We start from the raw sequence: 26,080 nt of genomic DNA, 5'->3' as shown, positions 1-26,080 counted from the left end.
CATTCTTGTTCCTTAGTTCCAAAATTATGGTGACTTTTAAATTTAATTGTTTTACTATGTTGATATGGTGGATGCCACATTTTGGCCTTAAGATTCGTTTTTGTTTTGCATGTTTTTTTTTTGTATACACCATGTTTCAAAATTTGTAAGATTATTCACTTGAGGTTGATTCTTCCAGTGATGGCAGTATGCTCTCTCTAAATGATTTTACTTCAGTTTTTTGAAAGTTTTGTTCAAGTATTGCCTTAAAGGGGGAAAGAGATGGAATTAACAACCTTACTCAGTTTCTAATCTCTGAATATTCCTTGGATTGAGTTTTCATAGTTTTTTGTGCTGGAATTATTTTTCTTCTCAAAATATTACTTTATTTTCCTGCGGGAATTTTTGTTCATTAAAGTTAATAATTCAGTTAAGATGCATGAAATTATTTAAATAGCTTAAGGATATAAGATATCTGCGATTAAAATGTATACCAGAAATGATTTTGGCAATTTTAAAATTATTGCTATTGTACTTACACTAAAATCTTTTTAGTGGCTGTGAGTTTATCATTTAACCTTCACTGTTTTACCTGATTGAACATGAAATTGTATTTCTCCATTTAAAAAAAATGGAGGTTTGTGGCATTTAAATTGAACTAATCCCTCCACTTCTTTCTCTTAATTAATGAAGACCAAGGAAAAACTTATAACACTAGGGTGTAATGTATATAAGCAAACCTTTTTAACAAAAAGCCAGTTGTATTATGACTAGGTGCTTCCTAAGTACCTAAATCTTCAAAAAAATTTCAATGCTTTTCAAAACAAGTTGACTATAAAATACTCACTATCAGTTTTACAGTCATAAAAAGAAATACATGAAAAATGGCTTTTTCCCCTAAGAGTTATTTAGTATATCATATTATTGATGTAGACATAAAACTTTGGGTACCATACTTGAAGCCTTTAATGGGATATTTTATGACAGATAAAGCCAGTGATTGAATTATCATTCTATCTATAGAGAAAAATAAATTATAAAAAACATTCTTCAATATATATTATTTTCCCCATTTATTTCATTTTATAGCTACCAGACTGTTTATCGATATAGTAATTCAGTTTGCTTCTATTTTGGATAATGATATCTAAATTCCATCACTGTTTGAATATCTAAAATAAGCTACTCAATTGAAAGAATCAATCTTGAAAAAGACTGCACTTCTGGGAAATATTGATTTCTAGCTATGGAATATATTTAATGACCATTTTTGTAATACCTTTATTATAATTCAATATATGACAAATACTAAAATTAAAGTGTATCTGTGTACTGAATACAAAATACAAAATATAAGTGAATATGACAAAAAATAATGACTTTAAAATTGGTGGGCTTTAATTAGGGGGAGAAAGAGAGTTTACTATAATGCAACAAAACTGTGTTCTGGATCAATTTTAAAAGACAAAACACTAAGGAACATAGAGACCAAAATATTCATTAAAAATGTATTAAATGTTATAACAAAATATTTATAGAAATTTTAAATGTGCCCTTATCCGCATCTCCTGAATTATATAGCGTTATCCAACCAGTCATAGTAGCCAGGAAACCTGTGAGTTCCTCCGCTAGTACTCTTGTCTCTCTCAGCTCTAAGGCAGTGAGGAGCAGAACAAAGCCTGTGATCTCCTGACAAGCACATCCACAAAAGGAGGAAGAGTAAGAGGTGGAGTTTTCATGGGCAGCCTCTTTCCTACACTATGCCTTTCTGTTAACTCACTGCAGCTCTGTGGGCCATCAGACACATGTTAACAGTGAGGATTGTTTACAAAAAACAATTTCTCATGTAGAGGAATGCAGGGAAAAAGTTTTCTTTTCTGAATATAAATATATATATATATATATATATATATATATAAAACCAAAATTTATTTCAGGATCAAATAGACAATATAATAAGATTTGTTAATTTAGAAAAACTTTGAAGAATAGTTTTTATTCTAGGCATCATAAAAGCAAGTTCAGTTTGACCACTGTTATTGAATGTACAATTTAAAAAGCTATAATTAAATTATTAGCAGAAATAGTTACAATATACTTTTTTCATTTGCAAGTCCTTTTAATTTTTTTTCTGAAAGTATTTCTTAAGATAATATACATTTTGATTACTCTATGGCTAAACTTAAGCATTTTTTAGATATTTAATTTTGTTTCAATACAAAAAAAATTCTCTTCATTGTTGGAATAAAAAATTCATGATCAATGTGCAAAAATAGTATTAACTTCATACAATAGTGATTTAAAACAATGTATGCTACCTCAATTCTCATGTAGTATATATATATGTGTGTGTGTGTGTATGTGTGTGTGTGTATGTAAAACTATGCCTCCAATGTAGTTCACTTATCTAAAAAGTTTTACAAAATATTGTGTGTGTGTGTGTGTGTGTGTCTTTTAAAGAAAGTGTAAGTCAGAAGTTAGTAAGATACAATATGGATAAAATATCAATTATAATTTTTTGGGTTATTTGCATTCCCATAAGAATAAGAACTCTGAATATGCTCATTTAATTTCAGAAATAGTCAATTCTCACTTTTCACTATGTGAATTATGTTCTGTATAAAGTATTCAGACAGTTTTTAATTATTTGTCATATGCCACCTTCTTTCAAAGTTGGTTAACTGCTGTGGTTCTCATTTTCACTTGGTCTGTTAGGAAGAACAAATTTATTTCATTTTAGTTTATAACATAATAAAGTTAATCCACCAAATACACACACATAAATAATTTATTTCTTAAAGAAATATGAATAATTACTTGAGATGCATAGAATTACTTTCTCTCAGAATATATATTGTTTTAAAAGAAAGAAAAATAAATATTTTTGAAGATTCCTATCCTAGGAAATAATCAAAATAAATGTCATTGAAGGGAGAAAAGGACTGCTGTACTGATATTTATTAAAATTAATCTTAAGATCACTGATATTTCTTAAGATTATATCAGTTTCTCTGTCTCATTCTCTTTCTGTCTCTCTCTCTCTATATATATATATATCATGTTTCACTGGTAAATAAAATAAAATATCTGAAGTTAAAGCAATATTGTTAATCTTTTTTTAATTGTTTACAAGGCAGTTATCTACTAAAGCAATTTTAAAAATCACTTATGTAAATAATAAGAATAAACAAGAGCAAAATGTAATTAAAATTTCTGTGTCAGTTGATCTTAGTAAAGGTGTTCGTGGCAACCAAGGTAAAAGATAAATGTTAAGTTCTAGAACATTGGACATTTTATTATATTTTTTCTGGTTCTTTTATATAGCACATTGATAAGGTAGATAAATTACTTGTCTACTTTTTTGACAAATATATACTGAGTTACTTATGACGGTGCAAAACACCCAAGATCTTCCTTAAATGAACATTCAGGTCAATGATAAAGACAGACATTTAACTTGGTAATAAATGTTATTATGGTTTAGAACCTCATTACTTGTGTGTGGTCCATGAACGAAAAGCATCAGCATCAGTTTGGTGCTTGTTAGAAATGCAGAATCTCAAATTCCACCACAGATTAATGAATCAGAATCTACATTTTAACAGGATCTCCAGGTGATTTATATGCACATTAAGTTAAGACAACACTGTTTAAAGTATCTGTATAAATTTAAGGTATAATCAACTGTTCTGAGAAATAATCTTAAAAAAATCATAGCAAGAGTTTGTAACTATACATACCAAAAATGTTTTAGAAAATCTTGTTATATCATTGCAAATAGCTCCAAAATTAGAAGTAACTTAATTGTATTTCACTCAGGGTAGATTCATTGCCACCTAACCTCAGAGCGATTTATTTCCAGTTCCTTTATTTTCATGTTATTGTACTACTATCGAGAGTATCATGGTACCTTCAAATTTGCTTAGAAAATTTGTAGTCTATTCTTGAGGGTAACTCTTAATAATCATAAGGTCAGTTGCTCTCCTTTGGGATACTTTGCAAAACATATTATGTTTCTTTGTCAAAGTAATATAAGGTTAGCTCTTTCCTCCCCATAATATCTTGCAGATGCCAATTGGTGTTAAGCCAACATGTCTATTTCTTAACTATCCTAATATGTTTGGTTCTGCTTCTTGGCAAAAGCCTATTTCTCTAAGATTGTTTTTTTTCTTCTTATGTATATCTATTTCTAAAACACTTTTTTCCCCCACAATACCATACTAGTAGATTAGTAGATAGATCTCACCAGGCTGTGTACCTTTAACATGTGGAGCTTAAGAAGGATGATTATCAGCCCTGAGAGCAACATGTAACTGCAAACTCAATATAATTTCAAAAGGGCAGCAATAACAAAAAATATTGTAAGGCTTTAGCACAAGTAATAATATGGCTTATCATTGCCAAAAAATGGACCATCTTTTTGAGGCAAAAGGCTACATCAAAAGTAAAACCTACAAACAATTACATTTAAACAATGTTTTCAATGTATATTTCTGTGAGAAGGATTTTCACTCAAATAGCATTTTTTAATAACTACAAATCACTCCAAGGCAAAACAGTCATTCAGAGTAAGATATTCAAATGTAAGGAAGTTGAATGACCGGGAAGACATCTGCCATAAATGCACATAATTTTTTTTCTGGGCGGAATGTAAACATTATAGGACAATGGACTAACTCAAGGGCAGTGGCAATCGCGAAATAAAATAAAATACATCCAACTCATAAGAGTCAGCCTCATGGTAGTAAAAAAAAAAGACACAAATTTTAGTTGATCATAACAATAATTGTTGCTTCTGACCAATATTATATGTTGGTTTCTGTGGGTACCCTGTGATTCTGATCTATGTGTCTTGGGAATGAAGAAGGACTCTTTTGCAACATGCCATCCTCCTGGTAGGGGTAAAAAGCAAGAGAACAGGTGTAATTTTGTGATGACTGTCCAAACTTGCATTATATCAACATCTGGCTCACTTGCATTTCACTGATCACAGCATTCTCCTTCCTTCTAATATCAGAATAAATATAATGCATCATGAACTGCTCATAGTTGTTCTCTACAATGGATCATGAAACTATGTATGCATGTTTGCATTTATGATGGTGTTGTAAGTAGTTGCAAAGAACAAAATAATCTACCACATTATCATTGTTGATTTACCTGTAGGATTCTTCGTATCATTGTTTTATCTATTATTTTTAGTCTGTTTCTACCCTCAATAACTATATATATGAGAATGCCAATTGAGAAAATCCAAGTGAGAAGTAAACAGTATGAAGGTTCTTTAATTTCTATTTCTCATTGACTCAACATAGATGATTTAAAGATCAGAATGGAAAAATACATAATTTTAAGGGCCATATCTTATAAAAAATGTCAAATTCTATGAGCCAGCCATGGTATAACATTAAAATGGTGATTTTTTGTTTGTTTGTTTTATTGTCCCCTGTTTCCCATTTTCTATGAAAGCATCCTTCAATATGTGCTTTTAATGACCATAAACCACCACAAAATTTTAGTTGCACAAGACACAGCTGCATGATTTCTATGTGGAATAATCACATCTTTTTATATCCACAGTCATTAATCCTTTTGCTGCCTAACAGACTCAGAATGTTGAATCATTTTCAAAATCACATTTAGTTTCTACAAAATGTGTGGATGTCCTTTGGAACCCATGTCATGCTTATGAGCTACAGCTGGTTTAAAAAAATGAACAAAAATGACTTTTGAACGCAATCATTTAGTTGATTGAATAACACTATTTCAGTTTTCGAATCTGAACATTGTGTGTCATTTACATAGGTTCTGATGAATTGTTATAATTTAATACTTGTGGAAAAGTTACAGTAAAAATTGAGAATACATTTTCTCAGGTCGTAAAATTCTCAAACAACTGTGAAGAAGATAATTACAAAAGTATGATAGTTATGCACAATTGAAAAAAAAAAACAGATCTCTTACAGGAAAGAAAGGCCTATTCTCCATGTAAATTGAGTGCCCTTCTCAAAATTTCTTAAATATTCAACAATCCATGATTTATAAAAGTTGAAGGTTAGCACAAGGCAACAAGTTTACATCAAATAGTCATGTGCTCTGTTGTAAGTAAGGGTTTTAAACAGGATATTCATTAAAAGAACTATTATGGTGATTTAAACTGCAGATTTAAGTTGCCTTACATGCATATCTACAAGGAAAGCTTTTGTATACATGGATTAAAATTATACTGTAGAGAAGAACCATGAGCAATTTATTAATGGATTATCTTTATCAGGCTATTAGAAATGATAACCCACTACTATTATTAGTAATCCTATATATTTTGATTATAAAAACCATTAGAAACAATTATGACTATGTCCTGATTCCTGTGGTAAAATTAAAAAACTATGAAATCCTAGCTTATGAAAATTTAAACTTCCTCATCAACTGTTAGGTCTTAATAAAAAGGAAAAGAGAGAAAGATAACATTTATTGCACTCATATAATCCACCAGGTACTGTAGAGGGATTATATTATTTAATCTTCCCAGATAATTGAAAGAAGAATATTTTCTTTGTTTTAGAGATGGGAATGCTAAGTACATATGCAACTTTACCAAAGCCCCACAGTCAACAAGTAGAGAGATGATGTGCTATTACTAGGATTTGCCCTTACATACCTGACTCTAAACCTCATGTTTCATTTGCCTTCATTATGTCATATTGCCTTTAGAATTATTTAATTGAAGCCAAGCCAATTAAAACACAAGCAATATAGAATTAGTAATAAAAGTGTATTATGGTATACACCAATATATTATCATCTGATTTTTCTTGTCTGAAATACATATTCTTCACGACAGAAGTAAGAAGTCATATTAATCTGTAACTTACAAGCAAATGTGGACACTGAAAAAGACTTTTAAATCTCCTGTAGATAGGAAATGAAATCCCTCTTATTTGTGATGATGATGTTAGACCATCATTTTACTATGTTCATCTTTAATTGCCTCAACATGTATTAGGTTTGTATTATCATCCATGTCCTTACAATAAGGACTATGCTAAAATGGTGATCCCTACTTCTTGTTATGTGTCACTTTCCAGTTGTATCATAGGACAACCTAACATGTGCGAAGTATTCCTAAATCAAATTGGTTTTAATTCACTGTTTAATAATGAGCATGTGCTCCAGCTATTTTGGGGGGTGAAGTATGGCTCAATTGGAATCCTATTAAGAAGAAATTAATGATGCACCATACTTACCTGAAAAGCAAAGACATATGTAGAAATGCGGTATTTATCTGAAAAGCATTTATCTGAAAATCAACATAGATAGCAATATGATATTTAAAGAACTGTGGTGGGAGATCTTTACTCTCTGTATATCATTGCAGACTATAGGACAGGGTTAAAGAATTTGTAAAAGTAGAAAGGCCAACTTCTCATCACAAATAAGATAAACTAGCTAAATTTACTAGAAACTTCTAGGTATGGAATGAGTTGATTTATGCAGCTCTGAATAATAGTGGTGAATAAAAGAGAATAATAATATATTAACAACTTTCGAATTATTACTAGATTCCAGTGATATTACAAACCCTTTACAGCTATCTATTTCAGCTTACAACTGCTCTTTGAGAAAATAATTACTATGCTAATGTTCCATAAAAGGAAACTGAGTCCTAAGATGTGTTGTTCAAGATCATTCAGTTACTAAATTGAAACCAGCATTAGAACCCAAATCTGTTTGACAGTAAAACTTGGTACACTTACATCTAAACTAAAACTGATTATACATTTCTGTCTTCCAGGACCTCATAAACCAGTGAAAGAATGCCTTCTATTGGTCTAATTATCTCTTCTGTTCAACAACATATAGATTTTCAATTAATGTTGCAACACCTTCAGTAATAGGAAAATTCACTACCATACAAAGGGAGACTTACTGAAAATGACTCTTTTCACATATTTAAAATGGCTTTCTTGCATCTCCAGGAGGCAAAACTAATGTCCAATTGGTTAATTGGATCAAATGTTTTGAATTTAATATATTACTCAATTGAAGAAAATATTTGATATAATTATTATGTTTTTAAAAACGTGGAAGTCTCCTTCCAAATACAAGAATGTGTATAAAACATTGAATGCATGAGGGTTGATCTTGGATGCTTCTTCAACATTTTAATGCATTTTCCAAGTGTAATCATCTGGGAATAGCCGAATCCTTTAGAGCTTTATTTTAGCTATAGTATTGGTTATGAACTTACCAATTACTTCAGGATATTTTTATTATAAAACAATATATTTTAAACCTGGGCCAGATGTAGAACAGGAGTTATGAATACTCGTCCCATTATGATTTTGTCTTCAATGACTTTTCAAAGATACCCAAAATAGAGATATTTGTACAATGAATACCCATATACTCATATGTAACAACATACTGCATAAAACCGTACTACTATGAGTATGCTGCTCATGCACCAGGTATAAAGTTTATTGATTCTTTGTACCTTTATTCGTCTTCAGAATATATTCCAAAAATTGATTTACATTCAAAATAATGTGTTCTTAAGTCACTTATTTTTACAAACATGATATACAATTAGTATCACTGGATTCTGTTTTTATTTTTTAGGGATGGCTTTTAAAATTTGATATAATTTTATTTTTATAAATAAATAATAAATAATTTTAAAAATGTTTCTAGTGCCTAAACAACATGATAAAATATGTTCAGAGGAAACTTTCTTCCAAAAGTGTTTCTTTAAATATCATATTTCTATCTATGTTGATTTTCCTGTTCCTGTAGGTAAATATTCATAAATACTTTTGGTTAATCCTTCCAGTGTTTGATGCTTTTTTCCAAATAAAAAGAAACAAATACATATATCTTTATACTTGTATCTACCCTTTTCTTATAAAAAACTTTTCAGAAACAATTTTTATCCACTTTATGAGATCTCCGTAGAAATAATCTTTGCTGCCTTCTTCTGGCTGCACAGTGTTCTACCGTATGGTTGTAACCTAGTTTATTCCTACCGATGGGCATTTATGTTGTTGCCAAATGTCAATAATAAAGCCACAGTGAGACATGTTTTGCATGTTTTAGTCAGTCATCCTTTGAAATACATTCTAAAAAGTAGGATTGTGGAGTAGATTATTGATATATATTGCCAATGTTCCCTGTATGTAAGTTGTATCATTTTGCAATCCCACCAACAATACATCAGAAGGCCTGTTTATTTCTACTTTTCCAATAGATTTGCCCAAGTTGTCAAAGTATGGATTTTAGCAAATTCTGTCATTGCAAAGTAATATAGCAATTACTTTTAATTTGTATTTCTCATGCTATGACTTAGATTGAATATATTTTCAAATCTATGTGGGCTAGTTTTATCTGTTTTTGTCTGAACACTCTTTTCCTATTTATTCCTGTTTTTCTGTCTGATTCTTGTTTTCCTTTTCCTTGATTTCTAGGAGTTCTTGGAATGTTAGAGGAATTAACCATTTGTCCGTTATATAAGTTGTAAATATTCCGTATCAATGCAATTTGTTTTATTTGTGATTTTGTGCTGAAAAAATCTGGTTTTACTTGTTCTAATTCATGAATGTTTTATGTCCTTACTGTTGGATTTTTAGTTATGAATTATTTCCTTCCTTTGTATTTTCATGAACTTTCCTCTAGTACTCAAATGGTTTCATTTCATTAAATAATCATGTCTCTAATCTGTTTGGAGTTTATCCTTTGATAGAATCATCTCCCTTGTTTTCCAAATTGCTATTTAGGTGTCACTTAGTAAAAAGTCTATCTTTTCCCAAGGAATTACTATCCCACTCTTATTACATGCGAAGTTTCCACATGTACTTGTTATTTTATGGATATTTTTCCTGTTCTACTTTGTCTGCCTATTCATGTGTCAGCCTGCACTGTTTAATTATACAGATTTTACAATTTGCATTCAGATATGGTAAGATGTTCTCATTCTTGCCTATTCTTTTTAAGTCTTTCTTACTTTTTTCACTTACAATTCATTGCTGACATGACTAATTTTCCTACTTCCAGGAAACAAAATATTAATATAAACTGATATATTTTGATGTTGAATATTTATGCTCAAGAAAAAATCGATCATGTCATTTAATAAGGTCTATTATGGCAACTTTCAGAAGTGATTTACAAATCTTTTCATGTATGTTTCACATTTTTTGTGCTGTTTAAATGGTGTGATCTAATCCATTATTATTTATGCTTAGATAATATTCGTGTGTTTCAGTCTATTGAGATAGTAATATTTTTATTATTTGCTTGTACCTTACTAAGTTTTGTTACTGTATATGTGCAGTAGTTTGTCTATTAAATTTTGAATTTTCACCTGCATAATCATATTATCTGCGAAATAAACATAGTTTAAGTGTTTTTTCTGACACTGTGATTCTAATCTGCATTCTCTTCTAGGTTTACATTTTAATATATTTATTAGCATGTTGAATAATAGAAGCAACTGTGGGTATGTTTGTCTGGTTCTGATTTTAATAGAGATGCCTCCTGTGTTTCCCCATTAAGAAAGTTGCTGGCTTTTATGCTTAGGATCCTATATTTCACTTCTTTAAAGAAGTATTTACAAGGTGGAGTGGCTCATGGCAGCAATCCCAGCACTTTGGGAGGCTGAGGTGGGAGGATCACTTGAGGCCAGAAGTTTGAGATCAGCCTGGGCAACACAGTGAGACTCCATCTCTATGGGAAAAAACATTGTTATTCATTGATTCCTAATTTATTAATTCTTAGTTAATCATAAATAGTTATAATTATTCATAAATGTATTTTAAGTAATAGAGGATAGCAGCGTTTTTGTTTCTGGATGTGTTAATATGCTGAATTATATTAATGATTTCCTACTATTGAGCCAGTTTTGCAGTATTGGAATTATCCTATTGGTCATGAGATAAGCATTTTTAATAGTTACTGTTGGATATTGTTCATTATTGTTTTAGTCATAATTTTGCTTCAATATTTATTAATTGTAAAATATATTGTATATGATGATTTTTAGATATCTGTGCTAATCTTACACTCAGTTTATAAAAATAGATTTAGAAGTTTTACATTTTCAGTATTATCAATTTTTTTATATTTAAACTTCAGGCAAAAATCCACTGTGAACTATTTGGGTATGTTAATTTTTTGGGGGGTTGTGGGGAAGGTGTTCTGTAACACCTAATCTTATTTGCAATATGGTTTAGAAAATAATTCTTCCCTGTTTTTAAGTAAATGCTCTATTCTCTGTTTTATTATATATTTATTCTGTCAATTCGTTATGTAATTTTCTTTTTCCATGAAGAAAAAAAGTAGGTTAACTAATCGGTGTTTTTTCTCCTGAAAGAAGCTACTTTTGGTTGTGTTTATCGTTTCCACTCTTTTAAAAAACAACGAACACCTGCTTTTACCTTTGTATTTATTTTTATTGGATATAAGCTTTTTTATCATTTTTTTGATTTTAGAATCATGTAGTTAACTCATGTATGTTATAGATATTTCTCTCAGCAGTGCTTTAGCTGTGTTCCTTAAATTCTGATGTATAACATTTTCCTTTAAAATTTGTAATTTTGCCTTAAGTTAGCCTATCATTCAAATATTATACAATAGGGAATTTTCACATGTAATAGTAATATCTTTTTAAATTTTCTGTTAACTTTTAGGTTTTTTATTGCCATCAGTGAGTCATACTATATTCTTACAAATTTATGGAATTTACTAAAGGTTTCTTTGTAACAAAATACATGGTCACCGTTTGTAAATGTTCTGTGTATTATTGAAAGTAAGTTTTATTTGCACTATTCTTAACATAAGGTTTACAATTTATTGATAAGATCTACCTTATTTTGAGGTTGTATATATTTCTATCATTACTTTTATCCCCTTTGTACCTAGAAAGAAATATGTGTTGAAGTCTCATAATATCAGTGTATGTCTATTGCTCCTGTATCTTGTGCTTTATGAAAAGTGTTGCTGTTAAAGCAACGTTGCAAGTTTCTGTTACTAGCACTACATTGCTATTTTTTCTCATTTAATAATTTTTCACCTAAATTCTCTAATATCAAGATTCTTAGCTTTATTTTTAATCTACATTTACCAAGATGTCTCTGTCATTTTATTTTTAATTTTCCTTATTTAGACATGTCTCTTGCATAATTCACAGAACTACACTGTGAGTACTTACTTAGACCACCATACCACTGGTGTTCTTTCTACATCTATCTACAGGGTATTTGTATGTTTTGGCACTCTCACGACTTATCACGTGGATGAGTTTTTCTGATTCATTGGTCATTCTGAGATGCACTTCCTGAAATTTCCTCACCTGTTGATCTTTTTCTTGGAGAGAATGATTGTAGGGGATTTTTTGTTTGTTTATTTTATAGCATTTATGTATGTATTCTTTTTCTCTTTTAGCTGCCTCTACTCCAAAGCTGTTTTTCATTTACACTACCTAATATTGTTGATGATTTGACCCACCTATTTATTCTTGAGATATATGTTTTTTCTTAAACTATTCTCCTTCCTCTAACTGATTTCTAATATGCATGTTGGGGTCCAAATACCAACAAGAAATGTGAGTTTTAGAAATAATATTTGTTGAAATCTATTTCTGAGAGAAGCTGAACTGATCTCTGGTAGACATGTAAGAGCTCTTACTTAAGATTGGATTGTCACCTGGGCTATGTCATTTTAAAATTGATATTATTGTAAGAAAGAGAGGAAATGCAAACTATTCTATTAGACAAACTTATTTGCCTTTTCATAAAAGTGACTTATTAGTTTATAAATGGGCACAATACTACCCAAACAAAAGGGTTGCTGAAAGAATGAAAACAGCAAGTTTGACAATTATGTGCTAGATGAGTATCCGATAATATGTTTGTCGGAGGATCACAAGTTCTTAATGTCTAACTTCAATGACATGGATTTTTGTCTTTTGGACATTGAAAAGTTCAGCTTAATTGTAATACACTTTACGTTTTACGTTTGAGAACCAATTGCTACTACCTAAATCCTACATAGATTTCAGTGTTTTTCACACAGTGTATTAACACACAATGTTTCAATATATCCTATGCAGGGAAATTCTGAATTTATTACATATATATACATACCTGTATATGCATACACATGCTTTATCTGAATTTTAAAGGTGCAGATGAAAACTAGTGCTTTGTCATATTTCCATTTGGATATTCTATTCTATGGTAAAAATTTCTGAGTAAATGCAATTTCTTTCTTTTTATTTATTTATTTATTTATTTTTGAGACGGAGTCTCGCTCTGTCGCCCAGGCTGGAGTGCAGTGGCGGGAACCTCCGCTCACTGCAAGCTCCGCCTCCCGGGTTCACGCCATTCTTCTGCCACAGCCTCCGGAGTAGCTGGAACTACTGGCGCCCGCCACCACGCCCGGCTAATTTATATATATATATATATATATATTTAGTAGAGACGGGGTTTCACCGTGTTAGCCAGGATAGTCTCGATCTCCTGCCCTCATGATCCGCCCACCTCGGCCTTCCATAGTGCTGGGATTACAGGCGTGAGCCACCGTGCCCGGCCCTGAGTAAAATACAGTTTCATTTTATGCCCCTCACTTGTTTGTTTTCCATAAATTAATTTTATTTTGGACCATATGAGTGTTATGCTAAACTTTGTTAGAAAGTCAATAAAATCTGGAGAAACTGTTCTGCAAAAGCTAAATATCTGACATTCAGTAACTACGTGTTTAAAGTGACCAATATCCCAGGCACTTTTTGAGGTACTTGAGAAATATCTGTGACCAAAAATAAAACCCCTTGCCCTTTTGGCATATATCACTCCTTTGTTTTACTATATTCATAAGCTAGACCTTTCCACCTGCAGATAAGTTAAAAAAAAAGATTTTAAGTGGAAAATTGAATAATTTGAAATATTATTAATGCAGGAGAGGAGTCACTCACAATTTTTGTGGACAAGCGGAAGTTGAGCAAACGAGCTGAAGGAAGTGATTCCACCACCAATAGCTCTTCGGTCACTCTGGAGACGCTACATCAGCTAGCCGCTTCTTATTTCATTGACAGGGACAGCACCCTTCGGAGACTTCACCACATTCAAATTGCATCCACTGCCATAAAGGTAAGAATGAGTTTACGCTAAAATTATCACCTTCCATTGTTTGTTTCCTCTATATCCAAAAGGCATTTTTATGTATTTGCTTATTCCATGAATTTAAACAATTATTTTATAAAAATATATTTACAATTTTCTTGCTTTCAGTTATGTAATATATTTAAGATGAAATTGTATGTATTTCAATATAATATTTACTTGATAAGTAGGTCAAGATTTTTCATGGTTAAATGTAATTAAAGTATATTTGAATTGTATGAATTTATCTTGGGGTACACAGACTCCCTCACAAAATAAACATGAATACAAATTTGTTTTAATAACATCAATTTCTTTTATAATTCTCCTTAATTTATTTTACCCACTTAAAAATACTATTCTGAGAAGAGAGGCTTTATCAGGCTTAAAGTCGTCCATGGCACAAAATATTTTTAAGAAGTCCTGCTTCATAGAAAATGACCCCTCAATGTTTTTAAGATATGTTAAGATGTACAGGTGCATGGTTATATGGGTTTCTAGGAGGCAAAATATAACATAATCTAGAATTGGTGGATTAATATTATGTGTTCACTAAAGTCATTTGACTTTGAATACACTAAGGTTGACTTTATCAAAACTGAGAAAAGAGGAGAATAATTTAGTTCTGATTTTCAAAAGAAAAAAAAGAAAATGAGAGAAAGAGATTGAGAGACAGAGAGGAGAAATTGTTGTCTCCTAAACAATAAGTTTTAGACATATTCTCTGGCAAATTAGGTCAATGTAATTTCATTTGTCAAATGGCCATTGTAAAATTAACAGTCAGAAGAGTATGATCCTAGCCTAAGTTAACCATAACAAAATAATATAGAGAGAGCATTTTGGAGTGTTTCAAATCTAACCTTTCATAGTCAATACAAAAAGGAATGATTAAATGTAACGTTGTATTACTTTATGAAACTAAAATTAATGTGTGTTCATTGTTGTGTCAGTTGAAAAGTTACTTAGGCCTGGCACGGTGGCTCAGGCCTGTTATCCCAGCACTTTGGGAGGCCGAGGCGGGGGGATCACTTGAGGTCGGGAGATCGAGACCATGCTGGCTAACACAGTGAAACCCTCTCTACTAAAAATACAAAAAATTAGCTGGGTGTGGTGCCGGGAACCTGTAGTCCCAGCTACTGGGAGGCTGAGGCAGGAGAATGGCATGAACCTGGGAGGCAGAACTTGCAGTGAGCGGAGATCACACCACTGCACTCCAGTCTGGGCGACAGAGCGAGACTCTGTTTCAAAAAAAAAAAAAAAAAAAAGTTACTACTTCAACTTTCAACTTAAATCCATAAATGGGTTAGAATGCTCGGAAGATTGCTCCAAGTATATCTTTTTGTTCGGGATGTACTGGAGAAAATTAAAGGTGATGTGGAAATACCTTTAGCTTAAGGGTTACTTAAACAATATGACAAAATCCTAATGTTGCTAGTAGATGATGTTGGGAAACAGACTTCAGTAGATACAAATCATGCAATATAGTTAGTTGGCTTCTGACTCTAGGACTAATGTTATATTGAGTAACAAGTATATAAATAATATTTATGCCGTACAGATAAAAATGTAGCCAGCATGAATGCAGATGTTTCAGTTAATTTAAAAATTTTGTAAGATGTTGTTAGAGAAACTTAGCTTGTGGTTGCTGAGGAAAACTAAACTTTTCCAGAAATCAATTTCAAGGATTTAAACAGAAACTTTGGTCAAACTGTATTTTCTAATAGAAGAAATCATTGTTGTAAATGATTTTATTATATAGCTATTGATTTTTGTTGTTGCTGTTCAGCACCAAGTGTGTCTGTGAAATTATACAACAGTTTTTGTACTCTAAGTAAGAAATATACAGGCACATTTCACATCAAAACATAATGGGTATTTGCATATACTTCTCTTCTCCCACAGGAGAAGTATGTGGCACAAAAAAAGAAATATATATATATACACACACACACACATATGTATATATATATGTTTTAATGAGGCATACTGTTATATACAGGCATTGTATTTAGACTCTGTTAATACAAATGGGAATAATGATGATTCATTAAGTCTATAATCTAGCTGTGTGGTCAAAACGAGTCCCAAAGAAGTGACACTTATAGGAAGTGTGTCATCTAAGCAGTTCTGAGAGGGAAGAAAGAGTAATCTGGAATTTGGGAGTCAACAGTCTCACCTTGACAGGGCCACGGGGAATGCCCATTGTCCGTTAACCATGGAAAGGAGTTCCAGTGCTCATAATAAAAATGATTTAAAGTGTGTGTAGAGTAGCTGGAGATGGGTGGAAAGGGGGCTTCATACTAGGTGGAGGAAACAGCAAACAGTGGGAATGATACAGGGTCTATATCATTGTGAACAGAAGTACCCATCTTGTGCTGTAACTAAGGAAAAAAGGAAATAAGATAAGCACCAGCTGGTAACAACATAGCCAAGAATACAGGCATGGAAATTCATAGGGAGTGCAAGCGTGAGGTGGTGAGGTAGCGGGGAATAGGAAAGAGTGGAGAGCAATTACACCTTTCAGGGTTTAATTTAGACCTCAGGGGAATTTCCTTCTCAGGCAGCTGTAATTTTAAGTAGCTGATGATTTTCCAGGCCAAGGTTAGCTGCACTCAGGGTTATTATGAAGGTTCCAGGGAAGGGCATTGTGCTTGTGTGCTGTGTTCAAGCAAGAGTGGAGCCAGAAACCCATGATCATGTGCACTGCAGGAAGTCGACAGCTCTGAGTTACATGAACACTGATGTGTCTGTGCAATTTTGTATGGAGAGTATCTTTTATTTTTATTACTTATCAAATGTGTCCCTGCACAGGTAAAAGGTGTCCCCCTTCATTTATAAGTATGACTAAGATTGCAAGTGCTTAGAAGTAAATATGAGGAACTGAGTAGATGTGTGAGGGGACTTCAGTAGGCTGGATCCAAGGGTATTCAACTACTGAAATATTTTCTAGTTGAATAAACAATTCGATGTAAAGTGCTCTTGTAGTCTCTGAAACCAAGATCTTAATTCCTTTACTAAATACCTAAAGGTTCAATGCATTGCTTGTATGCTTTAAATTGTCAAACTAAGGATAACAAGATTCACAATTTCTTTGATTTGGTAATGTAAGTTGTGTTTTAAGTGACATATAGTAGGTATTTAATTTCTAGAGCAAATATTGAATGAAGTTGTTCTGTGATTTACAGAATTTAGGAGACAGATAATTGGTAAAAAATAAAGTAAACAGAACTGTTATCAGGTAACAGCAAAAATATAATTAGATCTACAAAATCATGCCAGCTTTTATCACGCTAATTCTTACAAATCACAGGAGTTAAGCAATTTAACTATGAGCCAGTTTCTAGAAAGTGGAATAAAGCAATATGTTTGTTTTGTCTTTTATAATTATGAATATAAATGTAGACTATACTTTGTTAATCTGTAAATAAAAAACACTGACACAAACATCCATAGCTTAATTAATTGCTATACTCTTGCAATTAATAGTGTTTATATCAAATTTTATTTCACAATATTATTTGTAGTCCAATAAAATGTGAAGTGTAATGTCTAGAGTTGGTCATTATTTTCTACCGAGACTCAATTCAATTGACTTAAGTTATTCAAAAAATTATACTAACATATTTTTATTTTTAAATAGTCTAATAAACGTTAATGCTATATAATTGACGGTGATGAGAAAAACACAATACATTGTATATTTTGAAAAGATATTTAATCTATCACCTGACATATTATGTCACACATATTTTCAAAGAGAATTTTCTTGTTATTTTAATTTTTAGAAATAATGCACTGAGTAAAATTAAGTTTTTATAATAGGACTCTACTAAAAAGTTTTAAAAGTAATTATTTTCAAAAATAATTACTGATATGTTACTGTGTTTCTTGTATTCTTGAAATGTAGAAAAGAAAAGACAATCAGATAGCTTTCAGAATTATAGTGTTTGGAAAGTTTTGAGCAGCAAACCTAGGAATAAGTAGAAACAGTATATTACAATTAACTTGAAGGTCAGTATTTCAGCTTAAAAAAATCCATCTTGAAATGAGTTTTTACTGCTGCATAGTTAACTTAAGAGTGTTGCAGGTGATGTTGAAAAGGCACTAGAGCTAACTCTAAATTTACATTTCTGAAATTATAAAATACATTACATTAAAATTTTAAAGCTATTTATGAAATTAAACATGACAATACTTTTCCAAGAAGCAGTTTTGATAAGTAAATTATTTGTTATTTGGGGGCAAAATCAGTAAAATGATAATATATTTATTTTTAATTTTACCTCTCTCTCTCTATATATATATATGTTTTTAAAACTTACTTTAAGAATACCCAAGAAAATATGCATATGGACCATTCATAATTGTTGCACATTTTATATTTTACATTTATAGGAAAGATTCATATTTGGTACTCTTTTTGATTGTATATATTTAGGGTGTACAACATAGTGTTTTAATGTATTTAAACATAGTGAAATGGTTACTACAGCCAAGCAAATTACCATACCAATCATCTTTTCATCTTACATACTTTTTTTCTTTGTGGTGAGAGCAGCTAGAATCTATTCTCTTTGCAAATTTCCACTAGGTGATACAATATTTTTAACTATAATCTTCATGTCATACATTGGATCTCTACATTTATTCATCTTATATAACTGCAACTTTGTGCTCATTGACCTAATATCTTGTCATGACCTCATGACCTCCCTCTACCACCTCTCCCATCCTAGTAACCACTCTGTTTTTGCTTTCCTTTTCTTTTTCTTTTTTTTTTTTGTGGTTCTTAAGTTGCTTCTTTTTTTTTTTTCCAATTTCTTTTGAGATGGAGTCTCACTCTGTTGCCCAGGCTGGAGTGCAGTGGCTCAATGTTGGCTAACTGCAACCTCTGACTCCCAGGCTCAAGCAGTTCTCCTATCTCAGCCTCCCAAGTAGCTGGGACTAAGATGCCTGCCACCACGCCTGGCTAATTTTTGTATTTTAAGTAGAGACCGGGTTTCACATATTGGTCAAGCTGGTCTTGAACTCCTGACCTCAGGTGTTTCACCCGCCTCAGCCTCCTAAAGTGCTGGGATTGCAGGTGTGAGCCACCATGCCTGGCCTTCTTTGAGACTTTCTATTAGATAATGTTATCTGCAAACAGAGACAATTGTACTTCTTGTCCAGTCTGTATTGCACTTTATTTTATTTATTTATTTATTTATTTATTTATTTATTTATTTATTTATTTATTTTTTGCCTAATTCTCCTGGTGGTGAGAATGGAAATTCTTTCTTTGTCCTGCTCTTAGGAAGAAAGTGTTCCTTCTCTCATTATTATCTAGGATGTTATCTGTGGGTTTTTCATACATGCTCTTTAATACATGGAGGAAGTTCTTTTTAATTCATAGCTTGGTGAGTGTTTTTTACATGAAAATGTGTTGATTTTGTCAAATGCATTTTATGTCTATTAAGCATGTAATTTTTATTTTTTAATTCTATTTACATGATTTATTACATTAGTTGATTTTAGGATGTTGCATAAACTTTGCATTCTTTGGGCTAAATCTCATCTGGTCAATGTGTATATTTCTTTTATATGTGGCTAGATCTAGTTTGCCAGTAGTTTGCTGAGGATTGGTATGCCTATATTCAAAGTGGATATTGGACTATATTTTCCTGAGATACATCTGTCTGGTTTTGGTAGGCGGTAATACTGGCCTCATAAAAGGAATCGGGAAATATTCCTTCCACTTCTATTTTGTGAAAGAGTTTATGAAGAATTGGTATTAATTCTTCCTTGAGTTTTTGGTTGAATTTAGTGGTGAAACCATCTAGATGTGAACTTTTCTTTGTAGGTAGATTTTGGTTATTAGTTCAATCTCTTCACTAGGTTTATTCATACTGTGTATTTCTTCTTGAGTTCAGTTTCAAGAACTTAAGGGGCTTAAGAGATCCTCCAACTTTGGCCACCCCAAGTGCTAAGATTACAGGCTTGAACCACTATGCCTAGCCCTTGTTCAGCTTTATCTTGTGGCTACATGGCTCCTCCAAACATTTATCACTGTCCTCACCAACTCTATCCAGGCTTGGCCCTTCTAAACCTGAGCAATGACCTTCATATTCTATGTGATAAAAGAAATCAAGGTCATCACTTAAGAAAGTCTCTGTCTTCCTAGAAATGTTTCCATTTCATTGAAATTATACAATTTGTTGGCATGCAATTGTTCATAGTATTTCTTTAATATTCTTTGTGTTTCTGTAAGGCCAGTAGTAATATCCCTAATTTATTCCTGATTTTTAGTTATTTCTAGTTTCCTTACTTTTAGTTACATGAGTTTTCTCTTTTTATCTTGATCAATCAAGGTAAACTTTTTTTTCAACTTCGTTGATCTTTTCCAAGAATGAGCTTTTAGTTTTATTGAATTTTCTGTATTTTGTTGTTTTTTTTTATTTTTCCAATGAGTTAATATTTGAAAAGCTCTTAAAACAATAACTAGTGCAGTATTTGGGTGGGAGTGTCCCGTTTTTCCAGGTATGGTCTTAGCAAATGACACACCAGATTATATCCCGTGCCTGGCTCAGTGAGGTCCCATGCCCACGGAGCCTTGCTCACTGCTAGGGCAGCAGACTGAGATTGACCTGCAAGGCAGTAGCCTGGCAGGGGGAGGGGCGTCCGTCATTGCTGAGGCTTGAGTAGTTGAACAAAGCAGCTGGGGAAGCTTGAACTGGGCAGAGCCCCCCACAGTTCAGCATGGCCTACTGCCTCTGTAGACTCCACCTCTGGGGGCAGGGCATAGCTGAACAAAAGGCAGCAGAAACTTCTGCAGACTTAAACGTCTCTGTCTGACAGCTCTGAAAATAGCAGTGGTTCCCCCAGCATGGTGTTTGAGCTCAGAGAATGGACAGATTGCCTCCTCAAGTGGGTCCCTGACCCCCCATGTAGCCTAACTGAGAGACACCTCCCAGTAGAGGCCAACTGACACCTCATACAGGTGGGTGCCCCTCTGGGACGAAGCTTCCAGAGGAAGGAACAGGCAGCAATATTTGCTGCTCTGCAGCCTCCACTGGTGATACCCAGGCAAACAGGGTCTGGAGTGGACCTCCGAGCAAACCCCAACAGACCTGCAGCTGAGGGATCTGACTGTTAGAAGGAAAACTAACAAACAGAAAGGAATATCATCAATATCACCAAAAAGGAAATCCACACCAAAACCCCATCTGTAGGTTACCAACATCAAAGACCAAAGGTAGATAAAACTAGAAAGATGGGGAGAAACCAGAGCAGAAAAGCTGTAAATTATGAAAACCAGAGCACCTCTTCTTCTCCAAAAGATCACAGCTCCTCACCAGCAACAGAACAAAGCTAGATGGAGAATAACTCTGAAGTAGGCTTCAGAAGGTCAGTAATAACAAACATCTCCCAGCTAAAGGACGATGTTCGAACCCATCGCAAGGAAGCTAAAAAATTTGAAAAAAGATTAGACAAATGTCTAACTAGAATAAACAGTGTAGAGAAGACCTTAAATGACCCGATGGAGCTGAAAACCATGGCACGAGAACTACATGACACATGCACAAGCTTCACTAGCCAATTTGATCAAGTGGAAGAAAGGGTATCAATGATTGAAGATCAAATTAATGAAATAAAGCAAGAAGAGAAGTTTAGAGAAAAAAGAGTAAAAAGAAACGGACAAAGCCTCCAAGAAATATGGGAATATGTGAAAAGACTAAATCTACGTTTGATTGGTGTACGTGAAACTGACAGGAGAATGGAACCAAGTTGGAAAACACTCTTCAGGATATCATCCAGGAGAACTTCCCCAACCTAGCAAGTCAGGCCAACATTCAAATTCAGGTAATACAGAGAACACCACAAAGATACTCCTCTAGAAGAGCAACCACAAGACACATAATTGTCAGATTCACCAAGGTTGAAATGAAGGGAAAAATAATAAGGGCAGCCAGAGAGAAAGGTCGGGTTACCCACAAAGGGTAGCACGTCAGACTAAAAGAAGTTCTACCTGCAGAAACTCTACAAGCCAGAAAACAGTGGGGGCCAGTAGTCAACATTCTTAAAGAAAAGAGTTTTCAACCCAAAATTTCATATCCAGCTCAAACTAAGCTTCATAATTTAAGGAGAAATAAAATCATTTACAGACAAGCAAATGGTGAGAGATTTTGTCACCACCAGGCCTGCCTTACAAGAGTTCCTGAAGGAAGCACTAAACATGGAATGGAACAACCGGTACCAGCCACTGCAAAACATGCCAAATTGTAAAGACCATCGATGCTAGGAAGAAACTGCATCAACTAACGGGCAAAATAACCAGCTAACATCATAATGAAAAGATCAAATTCACACATAACAATATTAACCTTAAATATAAATGGGCTAAATGCCCCAATTAAAAACACAGAGTGGCAAATTGGATACAGAGTCAAGACCTATCAGTGTGCTGTATTCAGGAGACCCATCTCATGTGCAGAGACACATAGGCTCAAAATAAAGGGATGGAGGAAGATCTACCAAGCAAATGGAAAGCAAAAAAAAGCAGGGGTTGCAATCCTAGTCTCTGATAAAACAGACCTAATCGACATCTAGAGAACTCTCCACCACAAATCAACAGAATATACATTCTTCTCAGCACCACATCGCACTTATTCCAAAGTTGACCACAGAGTTGGAAGTAAAGAACTCCTCAGCAAATGGAAAAGAACAGAAATCACAACAAACTGTCTCTCAGACCACAGTGCAATCAAATTAGAACTCAGGATTAAGAAACTCACTCAAAACCACACAACTACATGGAAACTGAACAACTGGCTCCTGAATGACTACTGGGTAAATGACAAAATGAAGGCAGAAATAAAGATGTTATTTGAAACCAATGAGAACAAAGGCACAACATACCAGAATCTCTCGGACATATTTAAAGCAGTGTGTAGAGGGAAATTTATAGCACTAAATACTCACAAGAGAAAGCAGGAAAGATCTAAAATCCACAATTAAAAGAACTAGAGAAGCAAGAGCAAGCACATTCAAAAGCTAGCAGAAGACAAGAAATAACTAAGATCAGAGCAGAACTGAAGGAGAGAGAGACCCAAAAAACCCTTCAAAAAATCAATCAATCCAGGAGCTGGTTTTTTTAAAAGACTGACAAAATTGATAGATCGCTAGCAAGACTAATAAAGAAGAAAAGAGAAGAATAAAATAAATGCAATAAAAAATGACAAAAGGGATATCACCACTAATCCCACAGGAAGACAAACTACCATCTGAGAATACTATAAACACCTCTACACAAATAAACTAGAAAATCTAGAAGAAATAGACAAATTCCTGGACACCTACACCCTCCCAAGACTAAACCAGGAGAAGTTGAATCTCTGAATAGACCAATAACAGGCTCTGAAATTGAGACAATAATTAATTGCATATCAACCAAAAACAGTCGAGGACCAGATGGATTCCCAGCCAAATTATACCAGGGGTACAAAGAAGAGCTGGTACCATTCCTTCTGAAACCATTCCAATCAATAGAAAAAGAGGGAATCCTCCCTAACTCATTTTATGAGGCCAGCATCATCCTGATACCAAAGCCTGACAGAGACACAACAAAAAAAAAAAAAAAGAGAGAATTTTAGACCAATATCCCTGATGAACATCAATGTGAAAATCCTCAACGAAATACTGGCAAACCGAATCCAGCAGCACATCAAAAAGCTTATCCACTATAATCAAGTCAGCTTCACCCTGGGATGCAAGGCTGGTTCGACATATGCAAATCAATAACCATAATCCATCACATAAACAGAACCAATGAAAAAAAAAACCACATGATTATCTCAATTGATGCAGAAAAGGCATTTGACAAAATTCAACAACGCTTCATGCTAAAAACTCTCAATAAACTGGGTATTGATGGAATGTATCTCAAAATAATAAGAGTTATTTATGGCAAACTCAGACAATATCATACTGAATGGGCAAAAACTGGAAGCATTCCCTTTGAAAACAGGCACAAGACAGAGATGCCCTCTCTCACTGCTCCTATTCAACTTAGTGTTGGAATTTCTGGCCAGGGCAATCAGGCAAGAGAAAGAAATAAATGGTATCAAATTAGGAAAAGAGGAAGTGAAATTGTCCCTGTTGCTGAAGACATGATTGTATATTTAGAAAACCCCATCGTCTCAGCCCAAAATTTCCTTAAGCTGATAAGCAACTTCAGCAAAGTCTCAGGATACAAAATCAATGTGCAAAAATCACAAGCATTCCTATACACCAATAAGAGACAAACAGAGAGCCAAATCATGAGTGAACTCCTATTCACAATTGCTAAAAAGAGAATAAAATACCTAGGAATCCAACTTACAAGGGATGTGAAGGACCTCTTCAAGGAGAACTACAAACCACTGCTCAACGAAATAAAAGAGGACACAAACCAATGGAAGAACATTCCATGCTCATGGATAGGAAGAATCAATATCGTGAAAATGGCCATACTGCCCAAGGTAATTTATAGATTCAGTGGCATCCCCATCAATCTACAAATGACTTTCTTCACAGAGTTGAAAAAAAAAAAAACTATTTTAAAGTTCATATGGAATTAAAAGAGAGCCTGCATTGCCAAGACAATCCTAAGCAAAAAGAACAAAGCTGGAGGCATCACACTACCTGACTTCAAACTATACTACAAGTCTACAGTAACCAAAACAGCATGGTACTGGTACTAAATTAGATATATATACCAATGGAACAGAACAGAGGCCTCAGAAATAGCACCACACATCTAAAACCATCTGATCCTTGACAAACCTGACAAAAACAAGAAATGGGGAAAGGATTCCATATTTAATAAATGGTGCTGGGAAAACTGGCTAGCCATATGTAGAAAGATGAAACTGGATCCCTTCCTTACACCTTATACAAAAATTAATTCAAGATGAATCGAAGACTTAAATGTTAGACCTAAAACCATAGAAACCCTAGAAGAAAACCTAGGCAATACCATTCAGGACATAGGCATGGGCAAGGACTTCATGACTAAAACACCAAAAGCAATGGCAACAAAAGCCAAAATACACAAATTAAACTAAAGAACTTCGGCAAGGCCAAAGAAACTACTATCAGACTAAACAGACAACCTACAGAATGGGAGAAAATTTTTGCAATCTACCCATCTGACAAAGGGCTAATATCCAGAATCCACAAAGAATTTAAACAAATTTGCAAGAAAAAAAGCAAACAACCCCATCAAAAACTCGGCCAAGGATATGAACAGACACTTCTCAAAAGAAGACATTTATGCAGCCAACAGACACATGAAAAAATGCTCATCACCACTGGTCATCAGAGAAACACAAATGAAAACCACATTGAGATACCATTTCATACCAGTTATAATGGCAATCATTAAAAAGTCAGGAAACAACAGATGCTGGAGAGGATGTGTAGAAATAGGAATGCTTTTACACTGTTGATGGGAGTGTAAACTAGTTCAACCATTGTGAAAGACAGTGTGGTGATTGCTCAAGGATCCAGAACTAGAAATACCATTTGAGCCAGTGATCCCATTACTGGGTATATACCCAAAGAATTTTAAATCATGCTAATATAAGACACATCCACACGTGTTTATTGAGGCCCTATTCACAATAGCAAAGACTTGGAACCAACCCAAATGTCCATCAATGATAGACTGGATTAAGAAAATGTGGCACATATACACCATGGAATACTATGCAGCCATAAAAAATGATGAGTTCATGTCCTTTGCAGGGAAATGAATCCAGCTGGAAACCATCATTCTGAGCAAACTGTCACAAGGACAGAAAACCAAACACCATATGTTCTCATAGGTGGTAGTTGAACAATGAGAACACTTGGACAAAGGGCAGGGAACATCACACCCTGGGGTCTGTCATGGGGTGTGGGACAGGGGGAGGGATAGCATTAAGAGAAAT

At 33.4% G+C, this 26,080-nt stretch overlaps 1 protein-coding gene and 1 long non-coding RNA gene across 15 annotated transcripts in view, besides 2 other annotated features; one reads left to right on the top strand and one right to left on the bottom strand.

The window, feature by feature from the left end:
• Positions 1–26,080, top strand: part of BRINP3 (BMP/retinoic acid inducible neural specific 3) — a 380,207-nt gene that overhangs the window by 198,880 nt on the left and 155,247 nt on the right. For all 14 annotated transcript variants that reach the window (XM_017001129.2, NM_199051.3, XM_017001127.2 and 11 more), the window contains one exon: positions 13,930–14,120. In XM_017001129.2, coding sequence (XP_016856618.1) covers positions 13,930–14,120 — 191 coding nt within the window. The remainder of the gene's footprint in view (positions 1–13,929; positions 14,121–26,080) is intronic.
• LOC105371659 (uncharacterized) overlaps positions 13,944–26,080 on the bottom strand; it is a 36,078-nt gene continuing 23,941 nt past the window's right edge. Inside the window, exon 3 of the long non-coding RNA XR_922376.3 lies at positions 13,944–14,109. This is a non-coding gene — a long non-coding RNA (uncharacterized LOC105371659). The remainder of the gene's footprint in view (positions 14,110–26,080) is intronic.
• Positions 16,139–16,339: a silencer, noted in NCBI's record as "peak564 fragment used in MPRA reporter construct". NCBI's record gives its function as "represses an SCP1 promoter by STARR-seq MPRAs in K562 erythroleukemia cells {active_cell/tissue: K562}" and the evidence as "EXISTENCE:reporter gene assay evidence [ECO:0000049][PMID:32103011]".
• Positions 16,459–16,659: a silencer, noted in NCBI's record as "peak563 fragment used in MPRA reporter construct". NCBI's record gives its function as "represses an SCP1 promoter by STARR-seq MPRAs in K562 erythroleukemia cells {active_cell/tissue: K562}" and the evidence as "EXISTENCE:reporter gene assay evidence [ECO:0000049][PMID:32103011]".

This window comes from Homo sapiens, chromosome 1, assembly GCF_000001405.40.
Source record: "Homo sapiens chromosome 1, GRCh38.p14 Primary Assembly".
Taxonomy (NCBI): domain Eukaryota; kingdom Metazoa; phylum Chordata; class Mammalia; order Primates; family Hominidae; genus Homo; species Homo sapiens.
This window is presented reverse-complemented; position numbering and strand designations above follow the sequence as displayed.